General features: G+C 42.9%; 1 protein-coding gene across 3 annotated transcripts in view; it reads left to right on the top strand.

The window, feature by feature from the left end:
• The window catches only part of DCLK3 (doublecortin like kinase 3), a 52,133-nt gene that overhangs the window by 9,785 nt on the left and 14,381 nt on the right, over positions 1-27,967 (top strand). For 2 of the 3 annotated variants that reach the window (XM_047449090.1, NM_001394672.2), the window contains exon 2: positions 15,685-17,561. In XM_047449090.1, the coding sequence (XP_047305046.1) occupies positions 15,685-17,561 (1,877 nt within the window). Of the gene's footprint in view, positions 1-14,907; positions 14,974-15,684; positions 17,562-27,967 lie in introns of those variants that run through there. The other variant, NM_033403.1, reaches the window with a different exon arrangement.

Here is a 27,967-nt window from a genome sequence, read left to right as displayed (position 1 = left end):
GAGAGAAAAGATACATGAAGGAGTTGGCTATGTGGTAGCAATCATAGGTTTTCTCCATCACAGAACATGTGCAGAGTTACAGGAGCCATGAAAACAAATAGCTTGGGTTCATTGTGGGTTTTCTCTTTGAGATATAATCTCTCACACATTTAAAACTTACCTGTAAGTGTCTCTGACTGGTCCTAGACACTACTAGCACCAAATCAAAGTCTTCTCCTAGATGATTGAAACTTGTCAGTAATAATGTGTTTACGTTTTCGGTCTGGATAAGAAAAGATGATGTCAGAGGATGCCACCTCTTCAGTAATGTTAAAGACAGGCCTGGCAGGTCAGACTGTTTAATGTAAAATAAAAGGTGACTACGTCCCTAACAGGGGTCTTACCTTGTGTTCAAGTTAAGAAAACCAAAATCAGTGGGCTTATTAATTTAAAAAGAAAAGAGAAACAGAAAGAAATGAAATACATTAGGTTGAAGCTCCTTTTTCTTGGAGTCAACTGATGTCCAAGGATTGTAGATCTCCAAGTCATCTGATTTATAAGGAAGCTCCTAGTATTAGCATATAAGTTTGCTATAAGCATAAAAGCCATGCATTGGCTGCTGGGAACTTTTAGTGCTTTTTCTTTAATGCCATTGATAATATTAACTTAGAATCCAAAGAACTGACCATTTTCTACAAAGACTGCATAACTGAAGATGTTTTACTGGTTTTGAAGATTATATTTTCCAAAGACATTCTGTAACATGAATGAAAGACAGGAATACATACTCATATTAAGAAGTGGGGAACAGGCTGGGCATCGTGACTCACACCTATAATCCCAGCAATTTGGGAGGCCGAGGCGCGAGAGGTCACTTGAGCCCAGGAGCTTGAGACCACCCTGGGCAACATAGTGAGACCCTATTTCTTTAACAACAACAATAACAACAAAAATTAGCTGAGTGTGGTGGCTCATGCCTGTAGTGTCAGCCACTTGGGAGGCAGAGGTGGGAGAATTGCTTGAGCTGGAGAGTTTGAAGCTGCAGTGAGCCATGATGGCACCACTGTACTCCAGTCTAGGCAGAAGACCCTATCTCAAAATAAATAAATAAATAAAATAAAATAAAGCATCTGAGAATCAACTGAAAGACCTCTGGAATTCCTGTGTTCTCAGGAATGCTTGTTAGTTACTTGCTTTTTTCCAATTGCTTTGTCTGCATTACAAGGCAAAAACGGCAGAGGCTTCTTGGTTCTCTTTATGTTTCCTTTCTTGCTCTTTTTTCATCGTGAGTACAAAGTGATGTCTTTATTAAGCTGTTTCCTTAGAAAGGAAAGTGGTGTTAGTGTTGAGGTGCAGAGGGCTAGGTAAGGAGACAGACTGGGGTCTTTGTATTTTGCTTCCAACATGTTCACCTGGCCACAAACGCGATGTGTGGGCTTTTAGTCTTAAGTGAGCATGTTAACAATCAAAGAAAAAACATACATGTTGGATTTTTATTCTATTGGGAGGAGGGAGTGGGACTTTAAATATCTGCCCATCTCAGAGGGGAAAAAAAGGAAAGTTTTATATTTTCTATGCTGCCTTGAATAACTGTCAAAAAACTCTCAGCAGTTTCTGGCTAGCTAGCTGTCTCCATCTGGAGGTTGGCATTGTGTTTTTTTAACCTACAATTAACTACCATCCACTAAAAATTCAGCCAGTAATAGTCATATCCTTTCATAGCTTCTTAAGAAGTTTTTCTTAAATGTTCTTACAGTTCTTTTCCTACCCTTGACAATATCAATTTTTAGTATAAAAGCTACAAAATTAGATACCAGGGACATCACTGATGATTACCATGAACTATTTGTTCATTGGCTCACATATATTTGTTGTCTGCTACATGCCACTGTGGTAGGCTCAATACTTTTAATTAATTTAAATTTAAATGGAAAATAGCCGTATGTGTCTAGTGGTTATGGTATTAAGCATTGCAGAGCTCTAGAGAGTTGGGGAAACAGGTTAAAGCTTCAAGTAAATTGTCATATCAATGGTGATATGTGCTATGCAGAAAGAAACCAGACTGGTGAGGGAGGGGGATGGAGCAATTTGAGGGTCTTTCAGGTAAGGCCTCTTGGAGTAATGATATTAGATCCATCACAGACCTGAACAAAGGCAGGAAGGATGTTCATGAGGGAAATAGTTTCAAGACACTCCAGCCACCTCTGGGTAATTATATGCCTTTTGTTTTTAATGAAACAGGAGAGAAGGAATGTCTTCTACTTATGAATTCTAAAAATTCCACAAAACCATCAGTGCTCATTCTTACTGTAAAATATAAAGACCTTTCATAATTTTGGGCAATGGTGAGGGTCTGGTTTCCCTAGAAGCAGAACCTGAGATGTGGATTCTTGTGCATGTAATTATTCCGGGACAGCTCTCAGGAGAAGGGAGTCAGGTGGGTGGGGAGTGCGGCCAAGCAAGGAAGTGGTCTCAGCTGGAGTCACATCTCAGCCCCAGCCATGAGAAGCTCTGGAACATGCATTGTACCATGGATTGTCCCACCATGGGGTAAAGGCTGGGTCTTTGGTACCCCTCCCCACACCCCTGTCCATCAGTCATTGATTATGGGCTGTCCTTGTGAAGGCAGAGTTGGATGTGTGACCTCCTGGGTAAAGTGGCTCCAGTCAGCCAAAGTAACTCTTGGGAGACTTGGGCAGCGATCAGCTGCCAACACGTGTAAGAGCTGGAGGAGAGGGGCAGCCCTGGTAAAGGAATCTGGGTGGGTACCAATGGAATCCATGACAGTGTGCTGGCCCTACAGAATGTTGACAGCTGTGTAGCTTTAGATAAATTTGGGGGCAGAAATAGATGAAAAATCCTGACTGCATGCTTGGATGATCACCCAGCGCATTCTGATGACCCAACCAATAGTCTGTTTTCATTGAACACTACTGTGGATTTATTGGGTTCTTCCGTGCAACACCTGTTCATTGCCAGCCTACCACATACCTGGCACTAGGGCTCTGTGTTTAGAATCTTGCCACGCAAGGCCCATTTATTTAGTAGACTCCATCCCAACAAATTGTATATATTTGGCAAATGCCATGATATAACATCATAAGAAATCCCAAAGAAGCTTAACCACAACTCCTGCAGAAGCTAAAAGCTGCTAAGGTTTATCCTTATAAAGCCTCTGAAGGCAACAGTCTGTGTTGAAACATTTGTGTCTGATGCTTTCAAAAGGCTTAGATGCAGCAGTTGGGCTGTTAGAGGGAACTGTGTCAGTTTCTGCCCAGGAGGTTGGCTTCTCAGCAGAGAAGCAGTTCTGCTTTAGTGCCACCACTGTCAATCTGGTTTAATCTGAGTGCTGACCATATGTGGGCAACCTTATGCCTGTCATCTCATTACAATCTTTACAGCTATCCTGGGAGGACGGGCTAGTGGGGGCCATGCAGATTCCCACAGCAGTGAGGACTGCTTGGTGCTCCACCAGCAGAGATGTGTTGTACTCAGGGTGGGTATTAGGGCCACTGCTGAAGCTTTGTGGGTCCGATTGGATGCCTGGCTTCATCAGGGTGTTGGTACCATGCCTTCTCTTCTTTTGAATTAGGGGAAAACCAAACCCAGTCTGAATTCCCAAAAAGAAGAAAAGTTTTCACTTTAATGTGCTTTACCCAAACATCACTCTTCTTCGTTTGGAATCTTAATACACTTCGGGGAGTTTTTTTTTTTTTTTTTTTTTTTAGATCATCCCGTCTACAGGGATATCAGGGAAAAGCTCATCTGTTTATTGCCAGCTGCAGGAACACTGTGTGACTTAATTTTGCCCAGTTGGATGTTGGCTGGCTTAACAACTAGGGCAGAACTAAGCTGAGGCTGCTTTGCTTCAGTGTTGGTGCCTGTTGACGCCTCTGAGTGCTGCTCTGTTTTCTCTGGATGACTCCATGAGTTTAACATTCCATGTTATAAATGACACCTCTAAATCTGTCCATGTCATTGTTCAAAAACATTCACGATCTGCGGAAGGTCTGTTTCAGTTCTTACTAACTAGCTGTGTGGCCTTGGGCTAGTTACTTACCTTCTCTGGCCTACAGTTATATCTTACAGTTGCGGAAACTGGGCTACTATCCTTGCAGTTCTAAAATGCAAAGATCTGCGCCCACACAGCTTTTGCATCCCACACACATGTCCTCTTTAGATTGGATCTGTGGTGTTACTTTTGTTTACAAAAGATGCATATTTCAACACAAGCAGTTTGTGAGAATTTTTACCAGCAAGTCTAATCATCGTATAAATGATCATGTCTTAACTATTTATGGAAAGTCCTTTCTTAGTCTGGTGGATGTAAACCTCCAATAAACAGCACAGTGGAGCTATTTAGCTTATTTATTTCTTCTTGAGAAATAAATTGAAAAGAACTTAAGAAGGCCGGGTGTGGTGGCTCATGCCTGTAATCCCAGCGCTTTGGGAGGCCCAGGTGGGTGGATCACTTGAGGACAGGAGTTTGAGACCAGGCTGGCCAACACAGCAGAACCCTGTCTTGACTAAAAATACAAAAAATTAACTGGGCGTGGTAGTACATGCCTGTAATCCTAGCTACTCGGGAGGGTGAGGCAGGAGAGTCGCTTGAACCCGGGAAGCAGAGGTTGCAGTGAGCCAAGATTGCGCCACTGCACTTCAGCCTGAGTGACAGATCAAGACTCTGTCTCAAATAAGTAAATGAAAAGAAACAAAGAAGAATTAAACGTTAAAATAATTAAATTAAGAAGTAAAAGAAATTTATTTCTTCTTGAGAAACTTGGGTAATGTGTCTTTCATGGGATCCATCCATTTCATTTAAGTTGTCTCCTTTGATGGCATAAAATTAATCATACTATTCCCTTATTATTATTTTACATAAACAGCTCCAGTGTTTTGCAACTGTATCATCTCTCCTGAATATGAATGAAGGCTATATATTTTAAAAAACATTTCTTTTCAAATTATTTTACTGGCTTGCCATTTAATTATGTGTTGGACATGGAGGTTGTCTTATCAAGAAGTCAAAATCATTTAAAAACCACTTTCTGAAGAATCTGCAGGCTGTTTGCCTCCTCGTTCCTGTAGATGAATGGATCGTGGAAGTTTCCACCTCAGATCTCATTTATTAGACTGACCCCTCATCTGGTAAACGAGGTGTGAGAGTCTTCAGATCCAGGCACTGACAGATGGTTTAGATATTCCAAGTATCCTTACACCTATCTAAGATCCATTGAAGCCAAAGCATGAAGATGTAGAAATGAGATCGATCTGCTTCATCTCTAGAAAAAAGGAGATGGAGTATGCTTTTAGAATGATTTCTGCAACCTCACCAGTAGGAATGGAATGTGGTGAGGGTCTGTCTAGCCTAGTGTGTTTTAAAGTATTGCATGACACAGGTCAGTGGACATTAGTGGGGCGGGGAGGGCCCCTAGGGTTTGATAACCAAGGAGGGAAAGGAAACTATGAAGTCTTGTGAGCATCCAGTCAGCTGAAGGGAAAGTAGCCCCAGAGTACTTGAAGGCTCCCCTTCCAAATGAGCACATCCGAAGAGCCGCCCTGTATATAGCACTGAGAAAAGCGAAACTCAGCCCCAATCAAGGTTACTATGAATCTCCTCACCGCAACAGACAATTGGGATTAAATATTCAGGCCGTAGGAAACAGCAGCCTGGCCTGGGAGCCATGCCCTCTTGGGATTTTACTGAGTGAGCGATGAAGCCCCAGGGATGTGATCATGGGTGAGTTGGGAGAGTTGGGAGGAAACATGAAACCTAGGGTGAGACTGAAAGAGAAGCTGTCCCCAGGGGGAGGTCTGGTCAAAGCCAACCAGCATCGGATGTCTCAGAGAAAGACAACGCAGGGACAGGGTGGCAGCATCTGGAGAGGCTCCCCATGCATTGGCACAAAGAGCTGCGTGTGAAGAGAATCCTGTTGGAAAAGGAAAGAGGGTCAACCTGCTTCAGAATTTATGGAAGAAAAGAAAAGCCCAAAGGCACAATGTGACAAAATGACTGGAAAGCAGAAGGGTTCACCTGGAGGAAAAGTGGTCAGGTGGTTAGAGAGAAAGGTTAGTGTTATGGTCGCTGGCAGGTCCGAGGCCTCACGGACCCTGGGAGCAAATGAGGCCATGTTAATATTAATGCCTGGTGTGCCCTCCGCCAGTGTCCTCAGAGTCCCCAGGGCAGGATGTTATCTGTGCTCATGTGCACTGTGGCTCCTGTTCTGAATCCTTCCTCCTGTTCCCTGCCCCTGCGGCCCTCCTGCTGTTGCTGTCTCCCCAAGGCCCCTCATCAACCTCCTCTGCTGAGGCTGCCCTGGGTCCTGGGGCCTGTTCTGGGGAAGGCAGGTGGCTGGTCCTCCTCTCACTCTGCTGTGCCTTGTCACCTGGGTCCCAGAGCTTCACACAGTCTTTGAAACACAGCTCCTTCAGCATTCTCACTCAACCCTGTGTTCCAACAACACTTAAACCAGCTGTTCTGGGATTGGGAGCACAGGGGGAGAGGCCATACTGTCCCCTCTTTCTCATTGCTCCCCAGGCCTGTTATCTCCTCCTTGGGAGCTGCAAATGCCTGTGCACAAAACACCTCCTTCCCCATTCACCCACACCCTTGTCTGCCTATTTGGCAACTTGTACAGATAAACAGATCTTGGAAAAATAAACCCACTGCTGAGCTGAATGTGATCCTGGGTCTCAGTTTGGGTTTAGTTGGGTCATGCTGCCATACTTTAAGGGCTAATGAAATAGATACATACAAGTCCAAGGGCTTTATGATCCCCTCACCCCCACTGAGGGCTGCATATTTTGGTTTCACTAACCACTTTGGCAAAGCAAGAGATATTCTATGGCAGTGCATTTCAAGCAAACGTGCATCACACCACCTGAGGGTCTTGTTAAAATGCAGAATCTGTTTTTGTAAATTGGGGGTGGGGCCTGAAATTCTGCATTTCTAAGATGCTCCCAGGTGATACTGATGCTGCTGGTCCACTTTGGGTCGTAAAGGGGATCAAAATATGCTACCCCCAAATATGACACTTTGTCACAAGAATTATTTTAAGCTGAAGGTATTTGAGGAACAGCAGATGCAAGAAAAGATCTCTATCCTCCCCCTATTTATGTAAAAGCGGACATAAATTTCCCTTTGTGAAGTTGTTCCTTTCACTTGCCTTGTAACAGGAAGGGCTGAACAACCGTTAATCACCAGAGAGGACTCTAGACTCATATCAGCCCAGAGATGGCTCTGAGAGGAATATGCATAACAAACCTTACTAAAATAATCTTTATCTTCCACTAGTTTCTCATATATATACATATATGAGAAATATATATATATGAGAAATATATATATATACCTTTTTTCCCCCATATAAGCTCAAACCTTTTCCCTTTGTTTTATTACTTCTACAAGTTTATCATTCTTTGTTAAAATGGTATATAAGTCTCTGAGTCTGACTACCTTTTTGGGATTTTCACTTCATTTCTGTGAGGCCCTTATATGCATATGAAAGAAACATTTTTCTCCTGTCAATCTGTCTTTTGTCAATTTATTTTGCAGGACCCCAATCATTTAACCTAAAGAGTAGAGGAAAAAAGGTTTTTCCCCTCTCTAACAGTGGGCAAATTCTAGATCATTTCCTTTGCCACTTCTATATACTGTACAGAAAATCTTTTGTCAAAGGAACCGTGGCTGGACTTTGTGTTTCACTGCACTGATGCCATGTTTTTATAACATATCACAAATTACTTATTAACTTTATGAAAATAACTACTTATAGGCAACTTGCACTCCCAAAAGGATACTCTGGAATTTCACTGTATATCTTTGGTGCTCAGAGTGCATCCAGGGCCCAACAGCATCAGCATCAGCATCATCTGGGACCTGGTTAGAAATACAGACTGTCAGGCCCCACCCAGACTGTCTGAATCAGGACCCGCACTTCAACAGGACTTACAAGTGATTTGTGTGCACATGAACATTTGAGAAGCTCTGCTCTGTAGCACATAGTAAATTGGAAATGGGACTTCCAGTTTAACCACTTCAGCAGGATCCTCTAAGGAGACACGTCAGTGACAGCAGGGAAAAACTCAGACCTTGTCTGTTAGTCCTCTTTGTTGTCATGGGGTGTCTGTAGGGTATAACCCAATGTCCTGGGATCTCTGGAAAGAGAGGAAAATGCTCTCTGGTTTGCATGAAGCATGAGGGTTTTTCAGACATAATAAAGCCAGCAGTGGAGGAAGTGTGAACTGTGATACAATGATGAGATGGGTGGCATATACTAGACAAGGGTAAGTAGGAAAACTGAGGGATGAGGGATGAGGATTATCGTGTGGTCAGGGATAAGCTTTAAAAGTGAGAAAAGGAATGTCCACTTAAAAACACTCTTGTAAACAACTGATGCAGTACGTAAAACTCATGATAACTCCAAAGTTATCATGAGATGGAGCAGTCAATCCCATCTTTAAATTTGCGAGTAGCTTAGAAAAAAGTATCAGGCATCTGTTAGGTGGGTTAGAACAAGGCCTGGCCAATATCTCTCAGTCAGAGACCATACAGAGTTCTGAGCCAGTATGCTGGGAGGCACTAAGGGAAATTGTCATGGGTAAGTCAGCAGATAAAAGCCAACCCTGGACAGAGGCACTTCTGAGATAAGAGCAGGAAAAAGTCTCTTTAATTACTTTGTTTCTGATGTCTCAGTCAATGTCATGTTGGTAATAAAGAGGATAGGTAGTGAGGATGTTAATTAGAGATTGGAGTGTCATCAGTGATGACAGCCAATAAACAGCATGGCAGTTTCATTTTATTACCTTGCTCTTATTAATTTCTACAGCTCTGATCAATATAGACATTGGCCAGGCTTCTGAGTTACGAAACAGTAGCATTTTTGAGGCTTAGTGAGAGAGGCTTCATTCCAATTTTTTATTCGTTTACAAAACCTTCCTTGGGGTGTTGGCATAATCAAATGTAAGTTCACAAATGTTTCTCCTGCCTCATCTCTGCATATGAGCAAAATGAGTTTATTCCCAAACAGCCCCTGGAAAATGCCCAGGACAAATGATTATGCAGTGAAAAGTAAAATTATTTCAGCCAGTCTTTCTCTATCTTCCACAGAAGAATAGACATGAATACTCTCTCAGCACTGCATACTGAGGCCACAAGTGATTAATCTGCTGAAACCACAAAGAAATAAAAAGTTGATAAAAAGGAAAATATTTTCAGGGGCACCTTTCTGCTAGGAGGAGGGGGTTAATAATGTGGTGTTAGATGCATTGACCTTTCTTTTTTAGTCATCTTTTTGTTGTATTGAATATGACCAGATAGTTTAAAACACCGAATTCATTTTGTTGAGTACACATAATTTGTAAATGTTTATAGAGAAAGTATGTATTACTTGAGTCCTATAGCAATTTTGATTATCTGTCATTATTTTTCTTGTGTTATTATAGCTTTCTAGGAGCCAAGATGAAAATTCTGACGTTAATACTGACCACAGACATAGGTTTCTTTGCATTTTAATTAGACACGTGAGTTATTTTAAAATGACTTGGAAAAGGTAAAATCTCTTTAATTGTGATTTAAAAAGACAATATAAAAGAGAAATCTTTTATTTTTTTCTTGATGCTAAACTTGATTAGCAGCTAATCTTATAACAGAGAAAAGTAATTATAAGTAAATTAGACAGGAAACTTGGTTAATGTGACTTACAGTCACTCTGGTAGCCTTTCCAGCCTAATAAGGTGGAGAGCTGATCATCGTGGAATCAGGTTATGTTACTTTATCTGAATTGTGGCAGCAGATAAGAGACCCACTTTCTGAGCATCAAACCTATTAGAGGCAATAACGGCATGCCATGCCGGTGCAGTTACTGAGTTTATTGGCTCACCCCAGAATCAGAGCATCCTAGGGTCGATGAGCAGAAATTCCGTTTATCTCCCCAGCAGACCTGTTTGCTTAGGTTTGCTGGAGTGTTTCTTTTATGATCCCGTCCCTACTGGTTTTTTATTTCAATCACTGTGTGAATGACAAATGCATCCTGCTGGGTCACATTTAGCATCATATTCTCTTTGGCCTTGAGATGTACATGTACTTGGAGGAAACTCAAGGTTACAGGACTTATTTTCTTTATGAACATGTGAAAAATAAGCACAAGTTGAGTGCTCACTCTAGGCAGAGCAATGCACTGGACATCCTCAGCAATAAGTAAGACATTAATGCCATTTGGCAGGTGGTGAAACTGAGGTTCATAGGGATTAATTAATGTTCCCATGGTCACACAGCTAATAACAGCTTGGCAGAAGTCCTCTGACCCATGGTCAGTGTTCTTTGCGCTAAAACAAAGCTTTCTCAACCTGAAGCAACGTACTGCTGTCCCCTACCTCTATGAGTTGTTCTTCAGAAATGCTACTTTGTCAAATTTCCTGTCGCAGATGGATGTTTGTGATTATATTTTCTTTTCACCTCACTTATCTAATGTATTCAGGAGGTCTTTTGTGTGATGTTTGCTGGAGCTGCAATTAGCAATGCTCAGTTATTTACAGTGAGAGCTGGAAGACTGAAGCTAGATATTTGTGTTTGATGTTAGGGTTGGGAATTTGTTCTCCAAATCTTGTGTGCTTGCTCTCTGTACTGGGGCAGAGTTGGGGGGTTTGCATAAACCCTGGTCTCTGCTTTTGGAGAGCTTACAGTTTAGTTGAGAGGGAGAATGTTTACACCTACTAAGATGAAGTAACAATTAGCTGAGATGTGCAGCAGGCAAAACCATATGTTCCACATTCTGTGCTAGGTATTGGTCTCAGGCATTTGTGCTAAATTTTGCTTTAATGAATGAGCAGGTCTTCAGGGGAGGGAGCTATCACTGCGAACTTACGAGGACAGAGAAGGTTTGGGAGTAGAGATGGGTCTTAGGCTTTACAAGATGGTGAGGCTTGGATTGGTGGGGGAGTGGAGGTGGAGTGGGTTGGAATTGTGAAGGGCCTTATGTGTCAAGCAGAGGAATTTGGGTTTGGAACTCAAGGAGGCTAATAAGGAGCTACTGTAGGTTATTGAGCAGATGGATGGCTTATCAAAAGTAGTGCTTGCTCTTCTGTATATGTGGGGTTAGATTGGCATTGAGGAGAGACCCTGTAAACATTTGTATTTTGGTGTAATGAAGTAGAAGCAGCAGTTTTGTCAAGTCCAGGTCAATTTATTTTGCTGTAGCAAGTTAACAGAAAAATAAGGTGTTAATAAGAAAAAAATAAGATGTTAATAAGAACATATTTTCCCTGTGTTACTTCCTGGGACATGGTTGCCTTGGTGGCTGAAGACAGAATTAGCATGTTTAATTTTTACTATCTATGGCTTCATAAACAATTTACTGTTGATATAGGGACAGAATATGGATTATTATCCTAGATTATACAGGTTGAGTGAGTCTCCCTTATCCAAAATGCTTGGGACCAAAAGTGGTTTTTTATTATTTTATTTTATTTTATTTTGTTTTATTTTTTTATTTCAAGGAGTTTTTTTTTTTTTTTTTGGATTTTGGGATATTTGCATTATACTTACCAGTTGAGCATCCCAGCTCTGAAAATCTGAAGTCTGAAATGCTCCAATGATCATTTCCTTTGGTAGGAATGTCAGTGCTCAAAAAGTTTGCAGGCTTTGGAGCATTTTAGATTTTGTATTTTTGGTTTTGGGATACTCAACCGGTATGAGGGTGAGCCACATGAAATTTGTTTTTTTATGGTTCAAAATTGGTAGAACTACCAGCAATTTCATATGGTTCCATTTTACTGATTTTGTAAGTAAAGGTGTTGCTGGAGCTGAGTGGACTCGGGCAGGCCTGTGGCTTTCTAGTAAGGTTGATTGGGTTAGGTTCTGGACAGTGGTGCTTAGTGGGAGACTGAAAGTACTCTGTGTGCAGTTGTCCTGGGGCATGAGCACGTTCCCGGAGACTGAGCCCCAGGCCTAAAGGATATGCTGTGCTCTTTCTGCTGTTTGCTCTCCCTGCCCATGGACCAGGCATTCATAGTCTTCTTATTTTTTTCCTCTTACCTGTAAAGAAGAAAATTTTGCTCTAGACTACTTTAAAAGAGGAAAGAGGTCTTGTGGAAGAGAAGATAAAAATCAGTGCATCCGAAGGTTGCATTTTCCTGGTGCTTCCCAGTAGCTTGAAGCAGTCATAGCTAGAAGAAGTGCAATTTCAGTAGGACCCAGTTATGCTGAGGAGGTGGAGACTGAATTGTCACTTTTGCTGCAGACCAAGGAGCTTTTGAATAAGCTTGTGAATGCCCAGGCAGTGGAATGAGCATGTCTGATGTTGGTGTGATGGAGGCTGAGCTGTTCTCTCTTTACATCCTTTTACGCCATGCCCTGGGATGGAGGCTGTTCTTATGGAGCTTATTCTTTGTTCAGGGATGGGATGTTCCCAGATTGTTCTCCTAACCACTAGGGATCAGGGCAAGTTTTGAGGTAGGGTCTGCTGAAATTGGCTGAGCACAGAAATCCCAGAGAACACATCCCCTCTTCTCCCTACCCAGCTCTGGGTACCATTGTGCCAAGTCATCCATTACCACACTCAGATTCTACAGTTCCAATGTTTGGGAACTTGAGGCCACTGGTCCTATTGTAATTTGGGCCTCTTTGTCACTCTATGTCAACACTCAATACATAAAGCCCATTACTGTCAGTCCTGTTTCATGAACACTGCTTTATGCCTCCCTGACATCCCATCTTGGACCTTTTAGGAGGGTTCAGGGGCTTTCCTGAACCTCCTTCTATGCTAAATGTTCAAACATCCTTAAGGTATTCACTGAATGTTCCTTTGTCCTATTGGTTCTCCCCTGAGGATCCCTCTCCTATTTCTTCCCTGTAATGGATAATTCTTCCTTTCCAGGGACTATAGATTTTGAAGGTAGAGCTCAGAATTTAGCTCCCCAGGTCTGCTTCAGAGCTATTATTTTTCTTCCCTCCTATAACACCTTTCCTTAGCTGAGGCTTATATCATCCCATGATACAATATACACCCTTGCTTTGCCACTGTCATATAGTGGCTGACCATTCATTTCTCCATGTTACCAGTGTCTTCCTCTCCACATTGAGTCTTACCTTCATCTGTGCTGACCTCAGCGGCCGTGTGGACAACTGGTCCAGCCCTATGTCATGGTTCCTTTGCTATGTACTGGGTGGCCTCTACCTCATTAGGTGTTGAAAACCCAACTCAAATCTTGTCTTCCTAGCACTCTTGGTTGCTCATTCTCCTGGTACTTCCATTGGATTTCATTACATCCTCTTTATGCCTCTAGGTTTTCCTGGTAGGTCTGCCCTCTTGTGACCACAGCCAGCAGTTGATCCTTTGGGCCTGCCTATCCTTTTCCCACATCTGCTTGGAAAAGCCTCAGTCCAGGATATAGGCTAAAATCTCTTTCTCTGTCCCTATACAGGGTCTTCTGAGAAAATAATCAGGACTTCATTTACTTAGTCTGACAGTATGTATCAAGGATCCTACTGTGTGTGAAGCACATAAGAAAAACCAACAAGAACACCAGCCCTTTTGTGCACATGCGTTTGACAGTCACCTTCCTGACACCCTTCCTCAGTTCCCCAATGCAGGAAATACAAACTAGTATTCCTTCTGTAGCTCTCTTTCTTTCTCTCAACATCAGCTATCTCAGACAAAAATGGAGGCAGATTAATTAAAGAGGCTGTGAGAAGAAAGGGATAACAGATGTCCATATGTAGTTTAACTGTAAATGTGATTGTTAAGCTCATAAATTTGTGGTGTGTGGGAAGATCAGTATCAGCCACTACCTTGTCATCTCATCTGACACCTGCGTCTAGATGGAAATCATCTCAGAACAGATTGTACATTATAATTAAAAAACAAAAAACATTCTGTGTAGATTTGCTGGGCCAAAATCTCATCCTGGCACAACTGGAGTTTCTGCTACAGTTGATTCAAATACACGTATAAATGATTATTTTAAATTTCTTTTTAAAGGAAGCATAAACAGCAGATTCTTCCATGTAGGATATGACATATGGGTCCTGCAGGGTAACTTTAATAATTGTCATCCTACCATTGTGGCTTAACTGAGTTATACTTTCTGTTCTTTTCCAATTTCTCTTCCTGACCTGGATAGAAATTGAGGAAATTAAACCACTCCTGCCTCACCTGTTTTACTCTGGCTGGGTATAGTCAATTAGGAAATACAAAAGTCTTGTTTTATTCATGTACATTCTCATTATTTAAGCTCTGAACCTTGGTTTCTTTACATTTTTTAAATAAGAAGAGGGAAAACCATCTGGACAAGGAAGTTTTTACACCTAGATTGAAACCTTCTTCAATTTTCCTATACTAACTCTAATGCAAGTGAATCTCAGTCAGAGCTTTAAGAAATACCTACCACATCATGTGGGTCCATGAGTTCTTGTGATGCCAGAAGAAGCTGTGCACAGTAGACTTCTACCTTATTGATAGATTATACTACTAATACAGTGAAATTATAATATAAAATAGATATTAAGATCACAAGGACAGTGTTAATAACTAGCAACTATTATGTCCTTACTATGTGTCAGGCACTCTCTTAGGTAAGTTGTAATTTGATCATTTATTCTTCACAAAAACCCTGGGAGGGAGGTGTAGCATTCTTACTTTATAAATGAAAAAAAAAAAAAAAAAAAAAGAAATGCAAATAATTTGTCCAGGTTCACACAAGCAGTCCATGGCCATGCCAGGATTTAAATCCAGATCTGTCTCAAATCCTGTGACCATAACCTCTTCGCATACTGCTCCACCTTGAGTGAGTTCAAAGTCAAGCTGAAAAAAAATGTTCTTGGCAAAGAGATGGGTAAGATTGGGTTTTTCAAAATTCTGGAATGTTCCTGCCTCTTGTTGGTGTTTCATGGGCAGCAAACCTGGCCCTTCAAAGTTCTAGAATGTTCCTGACTCTTGTTGGTGTTTCATGGGCAGCAAAACTGGCCCTTTTTATCTCAGCTGTAGATCCTTGAAGGTCAGTTCACTTTGGGGTAGCTGGAGTTGTGTTTACAGAGTCAGGCCTCACCGTGAGAGGGCTCCTGTATTAGTCCCTTTTCATGCTGCTTATAGAGACATACCTGAGACTGGGCAATTTGCAGAGAAAGGTTTTCTTGGACTTACAGTTAGTTCCACGTGGCTGGGGAAGCCTCACAATCATGGCGGAAGGCAAGGAAGGGCAAGTCCCATCTTACATGGATGGCAGCAGGCAAAGAGAGAATGAGGAAGATGCAAAAGCGGAAACCCCTGATGTAACCATCAGATCTTATGAGATTTATTCACTACCATGGAACAGTATGGGGGAAACTGCCCCCATGATTCAATTATCTCCCACTAGGTTTCTCCCACAATACATGGGAATTATGGGAGTACAATTCAAGATGAGATTTGGGTGGGGACACAGAGCCAAACTGTATCAGCTCCTGAGGTGTGGCCCATCCTGGGGGCCCCTGTGAGGCCTACAGGAATCACTGCAAGCCCAATGCTTACTCTGTTCTGCACTCCTGGTGTAGAGGAGACTGGGAATTAGACCTAAGTATAAAGGCTCTGTCATTTCTAACAGACTCTCAGGAACCACACTTATAAACTGTAATGCTAGAGTCAGTCATCTTTAGTAAAGTTTTGGTGAAGGCTGAGGGCTCTCTGAACCCATCTTAACTAATACTCTGTTGTCCTTTTCTTGTTGCAGGACAGCAAGGCCTATGTGACCATTCTCTAAAATATTTAAGCTCGAGAATCACAGAGCGGAAGCTGCAAGGCTCCTGGCTGCCTGCCAGCCGAGGGAATCTGGAGAAACCATTCCTGGGGCCGCGTGGCCCCGTCGTGCCCTTGTTCTGCCCTCGGAATGGCCTTCACTCAGCACATCCTGAGAACAGCCCTCTGAAGCCCAGGGTCGTGACCGTAGTGAAGCTGGGTGGGCAGCGCCCCCGAAAGATCACTCTGCTCCTCAACAGGCGATCAGTGCAGACGTTCGAGCAGCTCTTAGCTGACATCTCAGAAGCCTTGGGCTCTCCCAGATGGAAGAATGACCGTGTGAGGAAACTGTTTAACCTCAAGGGCAGGGAAATCAGGAGCGTCTCTGATTTCTTCAGGGAAGGGGATGCTTTCATAGCTATGGGCAAAGAACCACTGACACTGAAGAGCATTCAGGTGGCTGTAGAAGAACTGTACCCCAACAAAGCCCGGGCCCTGACACTGGCCCAGCACAGCCGTGCCCCTTCTCCAAGGCTGAGGAGCAGGCTGTTTAGCAAGGCTCTGAAAGGAGACCACCGCTGTGGGGAGACCGAGACCCCCAAGAGCTGCAGCGAAGTTGCAGGATGCAAGGCAGCCATGAGGCACCAGGGGAAGATCCCCGAGGAGCTTTCACTAGATGACAGAGCGAGGACCCAGAAGAAGTGGGGGAGGGGGAAATGGGAGCCAGAACCCAGTAGCAAGCCCCCCAGGGAAGCCACTCTGGAAGAGAGGCACGCAAGGGGAGAGAAGCATCTTGGGGTGGAGATTGAAAAGACCTCGGGTGAAATTATCAGATGCGAGAAGTGCAAGAGAGAGAGGGAGCTCCAGCAGAGCCTGGAGCGTGAGAGGCTTTCTCTGGGGACCAGTGAGCTGGATATGGGGAAGGGCCCAATGTATGATGTGGAGAAGCTGGTGAGGACCAGAAGCTGCAGGAGGTCTCCCGAGGCAAATCCTGCAAGTGGGGAGGAAGGGTGGAAGGGTGACAGCCACAGGAGCAGCCCCAGGAATCCCACTCAAGAGCTGAGGAGACCCAGCAAGAGCATGGACAAGAAAGAGGACAGAGGCCCAGAGGATCAAGAAAGCCATGCTCAGGGAGCAGCCAAGGCCAAGAAGGACCTTGTGGAAGTTCTTCCTGTCACAGAGGAGGGGCTGAGGGAGGTGAAGAAGGACACCAGGCCCATGAGCAGGAGCAAACATGGTGGCTGGCTCCTGAGAGAGCACCAGGCGGGCTTTGAGAAGCTCCGCAGGACCCGAGGAGAAGAGAAGGAGGCAGAGAAGGAGAAAAAGCCATGTATGTCTGGAGGCAGAAGGATGACTCTCAGAGATGACCAACCTGCAAAGCTAGAAAAGGAGCCCAAGACGAGGCCAGAAGAGAACAAGCCAGAGCGGCCCAGCGGTCGGAAGCCACGGCCCATGGGCATCATTGCCGCCAATGTGGAAAAGCATTATGAGACTGGCCGGGTCATTGGGGATGGGAACTTTGCTGTCGTGAAGGAGTGCAGACACCGCGAGACCAGGCAGGCCTATGCGATGAAGATCATTGACAAGTCCAGACTCAAGGGCAAGGAGGACATGGTGGACAGTGAGATCTTGATCATCCAGAGCCTCTCTCACCCCAACATCGTGAAATTGCATGAAGTCTACGAAACAGACATGGAAATCTACCTGATCCTGGAGTACGTGCAGGGAGGAGACCTTTTTGACGCCATCATAGAAAGTGTGAAGTTCCCGGAGCCCGATGCTGCCCTCATGATCATGGACTTATGCAAAGCCCTCGTCCACATGCACGACAAGAGCATTGTCCACCGGGACCTCAAGCCGGAAAACCTTTTGGTAAGCCTTGACTTTTGATGATATGGGAGAGGGTGTTTTTAGAATATGGGATAAAATTGATATTAATTGTTTTATACTCTGTCACCTTTACACACTAGAATTTTACTTTTATGTTATTATAACATACTTGTTCCAGTATTTAAAACTATGGTTATAGGTCATAAGTTGCTGAGATAAATTAGTTTTGATTAACTTACAGAAAAAGAAACCTTCCAATTTAAATAAAATGGAAAATGTCTCTTCATCTCTGGGAGAAAAATGCTTTTGTCTTGATAGTGACTACGTGGACTTAATTTCTTGGCACTTAGGTACTGGGATGCCTACTGATGGCAGCTTCCCCTCGAGGCTTTGTGTGCATCATCCACCCTCCCACTGAGATGCCACTTTGGTCTTTTTGAAGATAATGCTTTGCTAAGCAGCTCAAAAGGTGAAAAGGTGCAGCACTGTAAGGGTCTGTGTAAGGAGTGCCGATGAGGCTGGCTCTGTGGTCAGATAACTTGGGTTTGAATCCTGGCTTTCTTAGTTGCTTGCTCTTAGATAAGTCCTTTATCTTGCTGGACCTTAGTTTCATCATTTTGTAAAAGAGAGATGGTAATGGTGCCTGTTTTGGAAGGATGCCTGCAGTTTGAGTATGGGAAAAAGAAAAGCAACCCTTGACAGCTGGGAGCTGGCCTGACACCCTTATCTCAGCTATGCCATTCTTCTGTTGAGCATAAGCAATTTCACAGATCACAACATCAGATAAGGCCACTCTGACCATAATGGATCAAGACAAAAGCAAAACCCCTTTATACTGATGTCCAAATGCAGATAAAAATAAGAATATTGTCCAAACCACATATAAGGTCACATGTCCCCTTTGTGGCTGCTGTGAGTGACTGACTGCGTTGCTTCATCCTTCCTACCTTCATGTAAGAATTATTAAGATACCTGATTATAGAATTACCCCCACGTGCTGACACTATCCAGCCCAGAGCAAAACCCTGCTTTCATGAATCCTCCCCCAAAATCATCTAACACAGCCCACATATTATCATGAGTCCTTTAAACACTCTCTTACTTTGATTCCCAGATTCCAACAGTACGTGTTCTCCCTTATGACAATGAGTCGGTAAACTTAGTGTGTTTGAGTACAAGTGTGTGCCAGGAGGTCTTTGTCAGGATGACACTGTCACCCTCTGGCACGTTCACCCACTTTCTTCTTTATCGCCCCAATCACCACTTGATAGAGTCTATATTTGCCTTTCTGTCTCCCTCCTCTTATTGGAGAGAAAGTTCCATGACAGCATGGACTTTGTTTCATTCAGATTGTGCTCCCAAACCTAGAACAGTTCTGTCACTTGGTCGACATTTAATACATGTGAGTTGTATGAATGCCTAAAGGCCATACCATGCTGCCTGGGAAACAGCAAGAACTCCATCAGTGGCAGAGACTATCACTATTATTACATTAAAAACAACCCTGATATCAAGGTGAGTATCATGAGTAAGCATTCAAAGTCACATCATTGCAGACAAAGCAATAGTGAATGAGCACAGTGATTTTGATGGGCCATATTTTGGCAGGAAGCTGGGAAGGTGGGGGAAGGGATTTACACTGTTTTCTTTAATTTCCATGGCTGTAAACTCAGCCTGGGGACACCATCCCAGTTGCATTTGCCTGTCTGTAAACTGGTCTCACAAGCAGGTGAAACACTGAGTGAGTCAAGCTAATTATCCAGTGAAATGAGGTCTACATTGACCACTAAGTCGAGCAACCTTGTTTTTGTGTTTTTGTCCTAACTCATAGAATTACAGAAGCAGTTTGACTGGTTGGATGAGGGGTCTGAATTACCATCAAATAACTCTCTTTGAACAATTTCATTTTTTGCATTAGCTGGATGTCTTTTTCCTTTCTCTACTCGCTTTTTGATTCTTCCCGTCTTTTGGGTCTGAGCCCAGATGTCTTCCATGTGCAATGTACTGTACACTCTTTATTATGGACACTTTGCAATTGCAACAGAGCAGTGTTCTTTAACAACTCTCTGCTTCTTTCACCGAATTGTCTAAGCAGGAGAGATCCCTTTCGAGGCCTGAGGAGGTCCCACGAGCTGAACATTTCAGTCATGTGCCTACTATAGCATTAAAACAGTTATACAAGTTCTCAGCTATGTGGAATGAGATGATTTTCTTTTGGAGACAGTTAGCTTAGTTTGCATTTTCTAACAAGATCCTGGAACCAGTTGGTTGAGTCCACCCATCTCTTGGGCAATAGAAGCTCTCATTTGTGTGAAGGGATTTATCAGTTATTTTTGAGATGGAGAAAGTCAGCACTGTTATAGATCACATGGAGGGTGGTTTGAGGAAGTAGGAAAACAGCAAGGAATATGTTTAATATGGACAAGCTACTTGCCTCTGGGTAGTTCTTCATGGTTTAAATGTCAGTACATGCATGTTTTAGTGCTCTGGGGCAATGGAATTGTGTGTGTGTGAGAGAGAGAGAGAGACAGAGAGAGAAAGAGAGGGAGAGAAGGCAAACTACAGAGTGGTTATAATTTTTTCAGCCTAAATGCATGAGCTTTTGTTTATTGGAATTGATCCCAATTGATATGTAGACCCTTTCTTTTTTGTGATTTTGAAGAAAGTCCATATATATATGTGTATATGTGTATACATACATATATATGTATATAGTCCATATATATATATTTCAAATAAAATAACTTTTTTTGTGGTGGTATGGCTTCTTCAGAAACTGTAGAAAGCTGCATATTTGAGCCATCTTATGTGGAATAGGTTAATATATTTGTTTTCCTGTGGATAATTTGTCAGCTTGCATTTATCAAAGTGGACAGGTCTGGCACATTTATAAAACATGTTTATCCTTTTTCTGGGTGAGTAAAGTTTAACATATTGTTATGTCAGAAGTCTAAATGCTATCTGATGTCAGCGCTTTTTGGTTTTTCAGACAGAGGTAGAGATAATGTTGGATTGACAGTTGACTCATTGTCTGGGTTTAGCAAGGTGTTATCTCTAAAGTTGCTGATATAATTACATTGCAAATTTGTTTGGCCTTCTAAGATTTAAAATATTCATAAATATCACATTGGTGACTGCTGTCCATAAGTTGGTGTTCTTCAGTTGCCTTTAATTTAATGTTTTACACTTGTGATAAGCTTTATATTGTCAAACTAATTGTTTCTTCCTTTAATGGATGGCTGCTGTGTCCATTAAGACCTGTCTTTGTTAAGCTTCGGGAAGTGATTATGTCAGAACTAACTTTTGATTACATGGCTGATTGTAAGTGTTGCTGCTTTTAGAGACTATCTGTATGTGCTAAAAGCTCCTAATGAATATAGTAAGCTTTCATGTTTTAATCAACAGAAATATTTATATCTGATAATTGTGCCCTAGAGTAAAATTTTAGGCCTATATTCCTGAGTTTATCTATTTCTACTGATTACATTTCCTGATAAGATGATGGTGCTCTTCTTCCCTTAGGGTTATTTAGACTCCTGAGATCTTACAAAAGAAGTTTTAATTATAAGAATTTCCAGCTTGCAGAAATACCAGTGTTAATTGCTGCTTCTGCCAGTGTGTGCTCCTTGGAGGAGTTGGAATATGCTGGGTGGTGTTGGCTGGGCTCTGGGGAAGGAAGTGGGGAAGCAAACAGGAGCTGGAGTAGTGATGATGATGATTAGACCAGCTCACAGAGGGTGGAAGGGCAAAGGCCAGGTTATTTATAGCTGATGGCTGAGAGATTATATCCAGCAAAGAAAGCTGGGTGAGCAGGATGGGGGAAGGGACTGAAGAGGTGTCAGACATGAACATTGAGCACGGTCATTTGAGAACATTTCTTCCAGAATAAGGGGAAGAGAAGGATGTGTTCCTGCACTGGAAACAGAGTGGAAAGGAATGAGCAGGGTGGGCATGCTGCTACACCTCCACTAGCATATAGGATGTTCATGTCTCCAATTCTGCTACTGCCCCCAGACTAGCTGTTACAGCCCTGGAGTGCTGGGAGCAGAGATCCCTGAAATCCAGGAGAGATGGTGGTGGTGATGGTGGGAACAGGTCTCAGCTTGGTCAAGGACAAAGGTTGTACCCTCTTTCTGGCCTCCTGCTGGTTCTAGGAAGAAACGGGCTTGTCTGTATATTTACTGGTGAATATGACTAGGACAGGGCAGTGACTGGTGTCCCTAAGGGTGGCAGGGAAAATCCAGAAGGATAAAGAGTAGCCGGCCACACTTCCTGCTCATTCTCCCTTTACCATGAACCTGTTCAATCACTTTCTTGGTCTGAATTCTGTAAGTTCTTTTTCTCTTCTATTTTGCTATACAAGAAGGAGTCACTGATTATTGCTATGGTAGTCACTGGTTCTGCAATGCATAATTCTCCTTGATCAGCAAGATTTCTCTTCTAACAGCTTCATTTTCAATCTCCTTTCCCTTAGCTTCCAAGACAGAGGTATTCATGTCTTCTCATTAATAGTCCAAGTATTCATGAATGCATTTATACCCCAATCACATTAATTTAAAAAACTAGTAACAACTATGAAGTATACTTAAGCTCTACTTAATAAAATAAATAAATGTGAATTTCAGCAATAACATGAAATTACCAAAGAAAAAGTACAGTGACACAAGTCTTTAGGTCATTGGCCAATTTTGATCGAGTCAGTGAGAATGCTGTTATGTAAGAGATTGAACTCCTCTGGAGAACTGCGGGGTATATTCTTGTCAGAAATCATTGCAGTTATGACTGTAGGTTTACATTGGTAAGACAGGCTCTCAGTATCCATTTCAGCAATTTCCAGGACAATAATAGTATCTGTACACTCAGTGAACTTATGTATTTCCAGGGTTTGGCCACATAGGCAGAGGTTACAGGAAATTTCTCAAAGTCTTCAAAATTATAGATACTGGATCATCTTGAGGACTGAGGTTTTCTTTCCTCTGTAAGTTACTTTCGAAACATCCACCTAAAAGGATAGGCGTCTAATAAGTTACTGTCTGTAGTAAATTTTCAGCAACAAAAACAATTTTAAAGCATGGTTCCTATTTATCAACTTGGTGGATATCTTCTAAAACTGTGACCTCATTTCATCAAGGAGGCCTGAAGTTCAGGTCATTTGGTAAATGAACATAACAGCACCTTCCTTTAGTCCGCTTAATCCCTGTGTTCATGTATGTTATCACCTGTCTAAAAGAGTATATTCTTGTGAGCCATTTGAGGGTCTAAGATTAACTTTCTTAAAAGTCTTTAAGGGCATTCGGAAAATGCTCTTAAGCTAAGGAAACAGCTTAGTAAATCTCAAGTTTCTGAGGTCTCAGGTCTAGTTGTCTAATTGCAACAGAAACCCTCAGGTTCTGGTTCATCTTGTGGAAGTCCCACATGTTAGGGTTTATGTGAGGGGAGGGAGAAAAGAAGGAGTGAGGAGTCCGCAGCCATGGTCCCAGCAAGAGATGATGGTGGCTTGGTCTTGGGGACCGCAGTAAAGATGGGGAGAAGTGGTCATCCTAAGGGTAAAGACAAGACTTGTGAGTGGATTGAATGCTGTGGATGAGGAAAGAGAAGACTCAAGGGTAACAGATGTTTATGACCTGAAGCTGGATCAGTCGTGGCCCCATCTTTCTAATGGAGGAGGGTGGTTTCTGTGTAGTTATGGGGATAAGAGACTGACTGAGTTAGGATAGAATGGAAGGTGGAATACTGTAGACAGTGTGTATAGACACCTCTTTCAAGGGTGTGTGTGTGTGTGTGTGTGTGTGTGTGTGCACGCACGAAGGAGATCATAGAATGGACAGTAGCTAAAGAGGGATGCAGAGAAAATAAGGGTTGTCTTTTTTTTAAGTTGGGAGATATGACAGCATCTTTATGTGATGATGGAGCCATTCTCTGGGTTGGGGAACTGTGGGAGAGAAGCAGGGTCGAGGTGAAATCAGTTTCCGGCATGTTGAATTTGAGATGATCATCTGATTGGATGACTAGGTGGTGAAGTAAAGTGTACTGTGAAATATGAGGCTATCAAGTTCAGGAAACACCTACAGTCCAAAGTCCATTCCTTCATCAGCTGGGCTGGCCACCTCTGACCAGACACTGGGTTAAAAAGACAGTGCATTACAGTGACTTCTTTGCTCAGAGCTGCCATTAGCTTCCCTTCGCATTCACATTCAGAATAAAAGCCAAGGTCATTTCCATGGCCTGGAAGGTCTTATATGATGTGGACTCCATCTTCCTCTCAAAGCCACTCTCCAGCCATTCAGCTCCTCACTCGCCCTGCTCCTGCCCCTGCTTGCTACATCAAACCATGCATGCCCCTCGGCCTTCACATTTGCTGTTTCTTCTACCTGAAAACTTGCTCCTCACATCTTAATATGGCTCACCCTTGCCTTCTTTCAGATGTTGCTTCCTCAGTGAGTCCTTCCTTAACCACCTTATTAAAAAAAAAAGAACTCCTGCCACTGTGCCAGCATTGCCAGTAGAATTTTCTGTGATGATGGAGATACAGATTTCCTGTATCTGCATAGCCCAATGTGGTAGTCTCTAGCCACATGGGCAGTTCCTCCTGTCTAAGGAACTGCATTTTAAGTTTCATGTAAAAACCAATAGCCATGTGTACTTAGTGGATACTGTACTAGACAACGCAGCCCTTATCCCACTTTTACTTTTTCATAACGCTTATCACTGCCTGAGATTACATATTTATTTGAATATTGTTCATTAATAGAAAGGAGGCTTCATAAGAAAAAGAACTTTGTCTGTTTCCTTCACTACTTTATTCTTAATATTTCAAACACTGCCTGGCAGATGGTAAGTGTGTAAATATTTGTTGAATGAACATGAGATTTTAATTAAGTAGAAATAAGCAGATGCAATAAACAGACACCAAAAGCATCTTATCTTGTGAGCATGCCATGTGACAAGTCCCAGGGAAGACTTTGTCCTCACTGATTTTTTTTTTCAGTCATACTTTTGTATTATGGTATGTTTATGTGTTTGTGTGTGTGTGTGTGTGTGTGTGTGTGTGTGTGTATATATGGTGTATGTACATATATTTTGAGACAGTCTGACTCTGTCACCCAGGCTGGGTGCAGTGGTGTGATCTCAGCTCACTGCAACCTCCGCCTTCCAGACTCCCCCCACCTTAGCCTCCCAAGTAGCTGGGACCACAGGTATAAACCACCACACGTGGCTAATATTTTGGTATTTTTTGTAGAGATGAGGTTTCGCCATGTTGTGTAGGCTCACTTCAAACTCCTGGACTCAAGTGATCCACCTGCCTTGGCCTCCCAAAGTGCTGGAATTACAGGCCTGAGCCACTGCACCTGGCCTGTGTTATGGTATATTTTGCTGTCGTTGAAATATAAACGGATTTTAGGTATTGGCATTTTAATGTGAATTGGTTTCTAAGATCATTTCATTCTTCACAGCCAGTTGAAAATGGACCTTGGAGGGAAAAAGTACGAGAAACCATGAAGGATCAAGTAAGAAGGTGGCAAAGATAAATAAACTTTATCCATGTCTTAATCCTTAAGGGAGCCACTTGTTGTTTGGTCTGTACTCTGCTTCCATCTTCTGTTCAGAGATGAGAATTGCAAGATCACATTTAAATTGAGGTACCATTGAAGGAGAGAGCAGAGTTAATTGTTCAGAAAAATAAAGATTCTTCTTGAAGCTTTCAGATTATCCAGATGCTATCTGAATGCCTACGTAAATAATGTAGACCACTTGAATTCCAAGCATGACACTTTGGTGTGGCTGGAAAAGGATGATAGATGCAGACAGATAACAGTCATTACAGTGCCATGTAAAGCAACCTCTTACACCCTTTCAGTTAGGGAACAACCGAAAATGAGCCCCAGCAAGAACATGGCCCAGAGCAGCGAGTTTAGCTAGGCTGCAAAAGAGATACAGGGAGATGTGGGGTGAGGGCAAAGTGAGATGTGTGTAAAGGGGGCTTTTGTACCCCCCCCCCCCACACACACACACAACCCGGGAAAACCCTGAAAGGTTTTCTCAGGCAGGGACACTGAAGTGGGTCATTTGATGGGGTCTTTGGCTGTCTTGATGACCACCCAGTGCCTGGTCAGCCGAGAGTCCTGAGGTCCTCTGCTCTGATCGAATCACACCTGGTGTGTGGCGTTTGGTGCTGGGCATTCTTGGTTAAGAAAGGCATCATGGGGGCCATCCAGAACTTTACTGTGGACACAGACCTCTCTGAGGTTGTGAGGAAATGCAGATTCTGTTTCAGGGGCTCTGGGGCAGCTGAGAGCTGTAACCAGCTCACAGGAGATGCTGATGGTGCTGGTCCAGGGTCCAGGGGCTGCACTTGGAATAGGGATGAGTGAGGGAGGGTGACCAGGAGAACAGGTCCTGTAAGGATTCACCAGAGCATCCTTGGTTGTTGTATTAGCCAGAGTTCTCTAGAGAGACAGAACCAATAGGATATATGTTTATAGAGATGTATGAGAGGGGATTTATTAGGGGACTTGGCTCACATGATTATGGAGACTGAGGAGTCCCATGACTGGCTGTCCACAAGCTGGAGACCCTGGGATACCAGTAGCGTGGCTCAGCCCAAGTCTGAAGGCCTGAGAACCCAGGGGTTACTGGTATAAGTCTTGGAGCCCAAAGGCTAGAAAGCCTGCAGTTCTGATGTCCCAGGAGGAGGGGGAGGAGGGAGTGCAGAGAGAGAGAGACAGAGAGACACCAATTGCCTTTTCCCTACTTTCGTTCTATCCAAGCCCCCAGCCGGCTGGATGCTGCTCATCCATATTGAGGGCAGATCTTCTGCACTTGGTCCACCTGGATTCACACACCAATCTCCTCTGGAAATACCTAACAGACACCGTCCCCCCACCCCCCACCAATGATACTTTATCAGTACTAGGTATTCCTTAATCCAGTCAAGTTGTCATCTAAAATTAATCATCACAGATGCTAGCTTGGAGAAGCCAGAGGCGAGCTGGGGATCACGATACTTGCTTCCCGTCTTTGGAGGGATGCGTTCTTATTCAGCATCACTGGAGAGGGCAGATTTAGAAAACAGGAGTGGGAAAGGAATTCTGAATCAACATAGGGGTGAATCTCCTCACAAGCTAAGCTTGCCATAAATGGGATGCACTACAGCACAGAGTTGTGGAGTCTTTTCCATTTTGAGATTTCATTCAGACATGAACGATAGTCTGGTGGGAGGATGTTTGAGACACGTTTTTTGTTTGGGTGGAGGTTTGAGTTTGATGGTATCAGATGTCCCACAGATTCTGGGAAGAAGAATTATTCTAGGACAACATCACTCATTTAATTTCAAGGTTTAAGATAGGAACTGTTCTGAAGCCAAATATGTGAGGTGCTTGTTGCAAAAATAAGCCAAAAAACTTGCAGACAGTGTGCGACCTTAAATGTAATTAAGCTGCTTAGGTAGAGGAAATAAATGACAACACTGAAGAATATTAAATAACTCTTGACAGCAGAAGCTGGAGACAGAATAATTAAAAACATCGGGCCATCTGGGGCCACTTTCTGGAAGAGACAAGTGGCACCACTGATCTTAACCGCTGCCCCCCACCAAGTTCTGCTTATGCAATTGTTGATGCTCAGGGGATGATCCTGAGATTGAAAGAGAAAAGCTCTAGTGTGAAGAAACTAGAAGAGGCATAATATATCTCACATAGGTCCATATCATACTCTAAAAACAGATTTGGCATTTTGAAAATATATCCTTCAGTCTCTGGATAGTTAACATAATAAATTTTCAAAGTAAAGTGTGAGTTTCCAAAACATTTAATCTGCTACAAGCTCAGTGGAGCCAGGTTTTGGAATTGGGGGCTTCCATGAGGAAGGTAATGTTTCACTTATTTCACAATAGGAACACACTTCTTACTTTGGTATACTAAGTCAGCCAAATGCTTTATTTGTTTTTAAGACTAATTATTTTAAGATGGAGCTTCATCCTTTCACCCAGGCTGGAGTGCAGTGGCTCGACCTCAGCTCACTGCAACCTCCATCTCCGGGGTTCAAGTGATTCTCCTGCCTCAGCCTCCTGAGTAGCTGGGATTACAGGGGCCCGCCACCATGCCCAGCTGTTTTTTTTTGTTGTATTTTTAGTAGAGATGGGGTTTCACCATGTTGGCCGGGCTGGTCTCAAACTCCTGACCTCAAGTGATCCACATGCCTAAGCCTCCCAAAGTACTGGGATTACATGAGCCACTGTGCCTGGCCAGTCAGCCAAATGCTTTTATGCCACTAATTTATAAATATTTGTGAGAGACATATTTTTCCAGCAGTCACCCAGCAACTACGATTAATGTATATGATCCATCTGGTCATTTTGGTATCACATTATTTTGTTTTCCTTCCCTTCCAAACAAGGTTTTCTTAAATTATTCTGGTAATTACCCTGTTGTCTCCTTTTGGGCTATGTC

This window comes from Homo sapiens, chromosome 3 (assembly GCF_000001405.40).
Source record: "Homo sapiens chromosome 3, GRCh38.p14 Primary Assembly".
NCBI lineage: Eukaryota > Metazoa > Chordata > Mammalia > Primates > Hominidae > Homo > Homo sapiens.
Note: the sequence above shows the minus strand (reverse complement) of the source record. Positions and strands in the feature narration are given on the sequence as shown.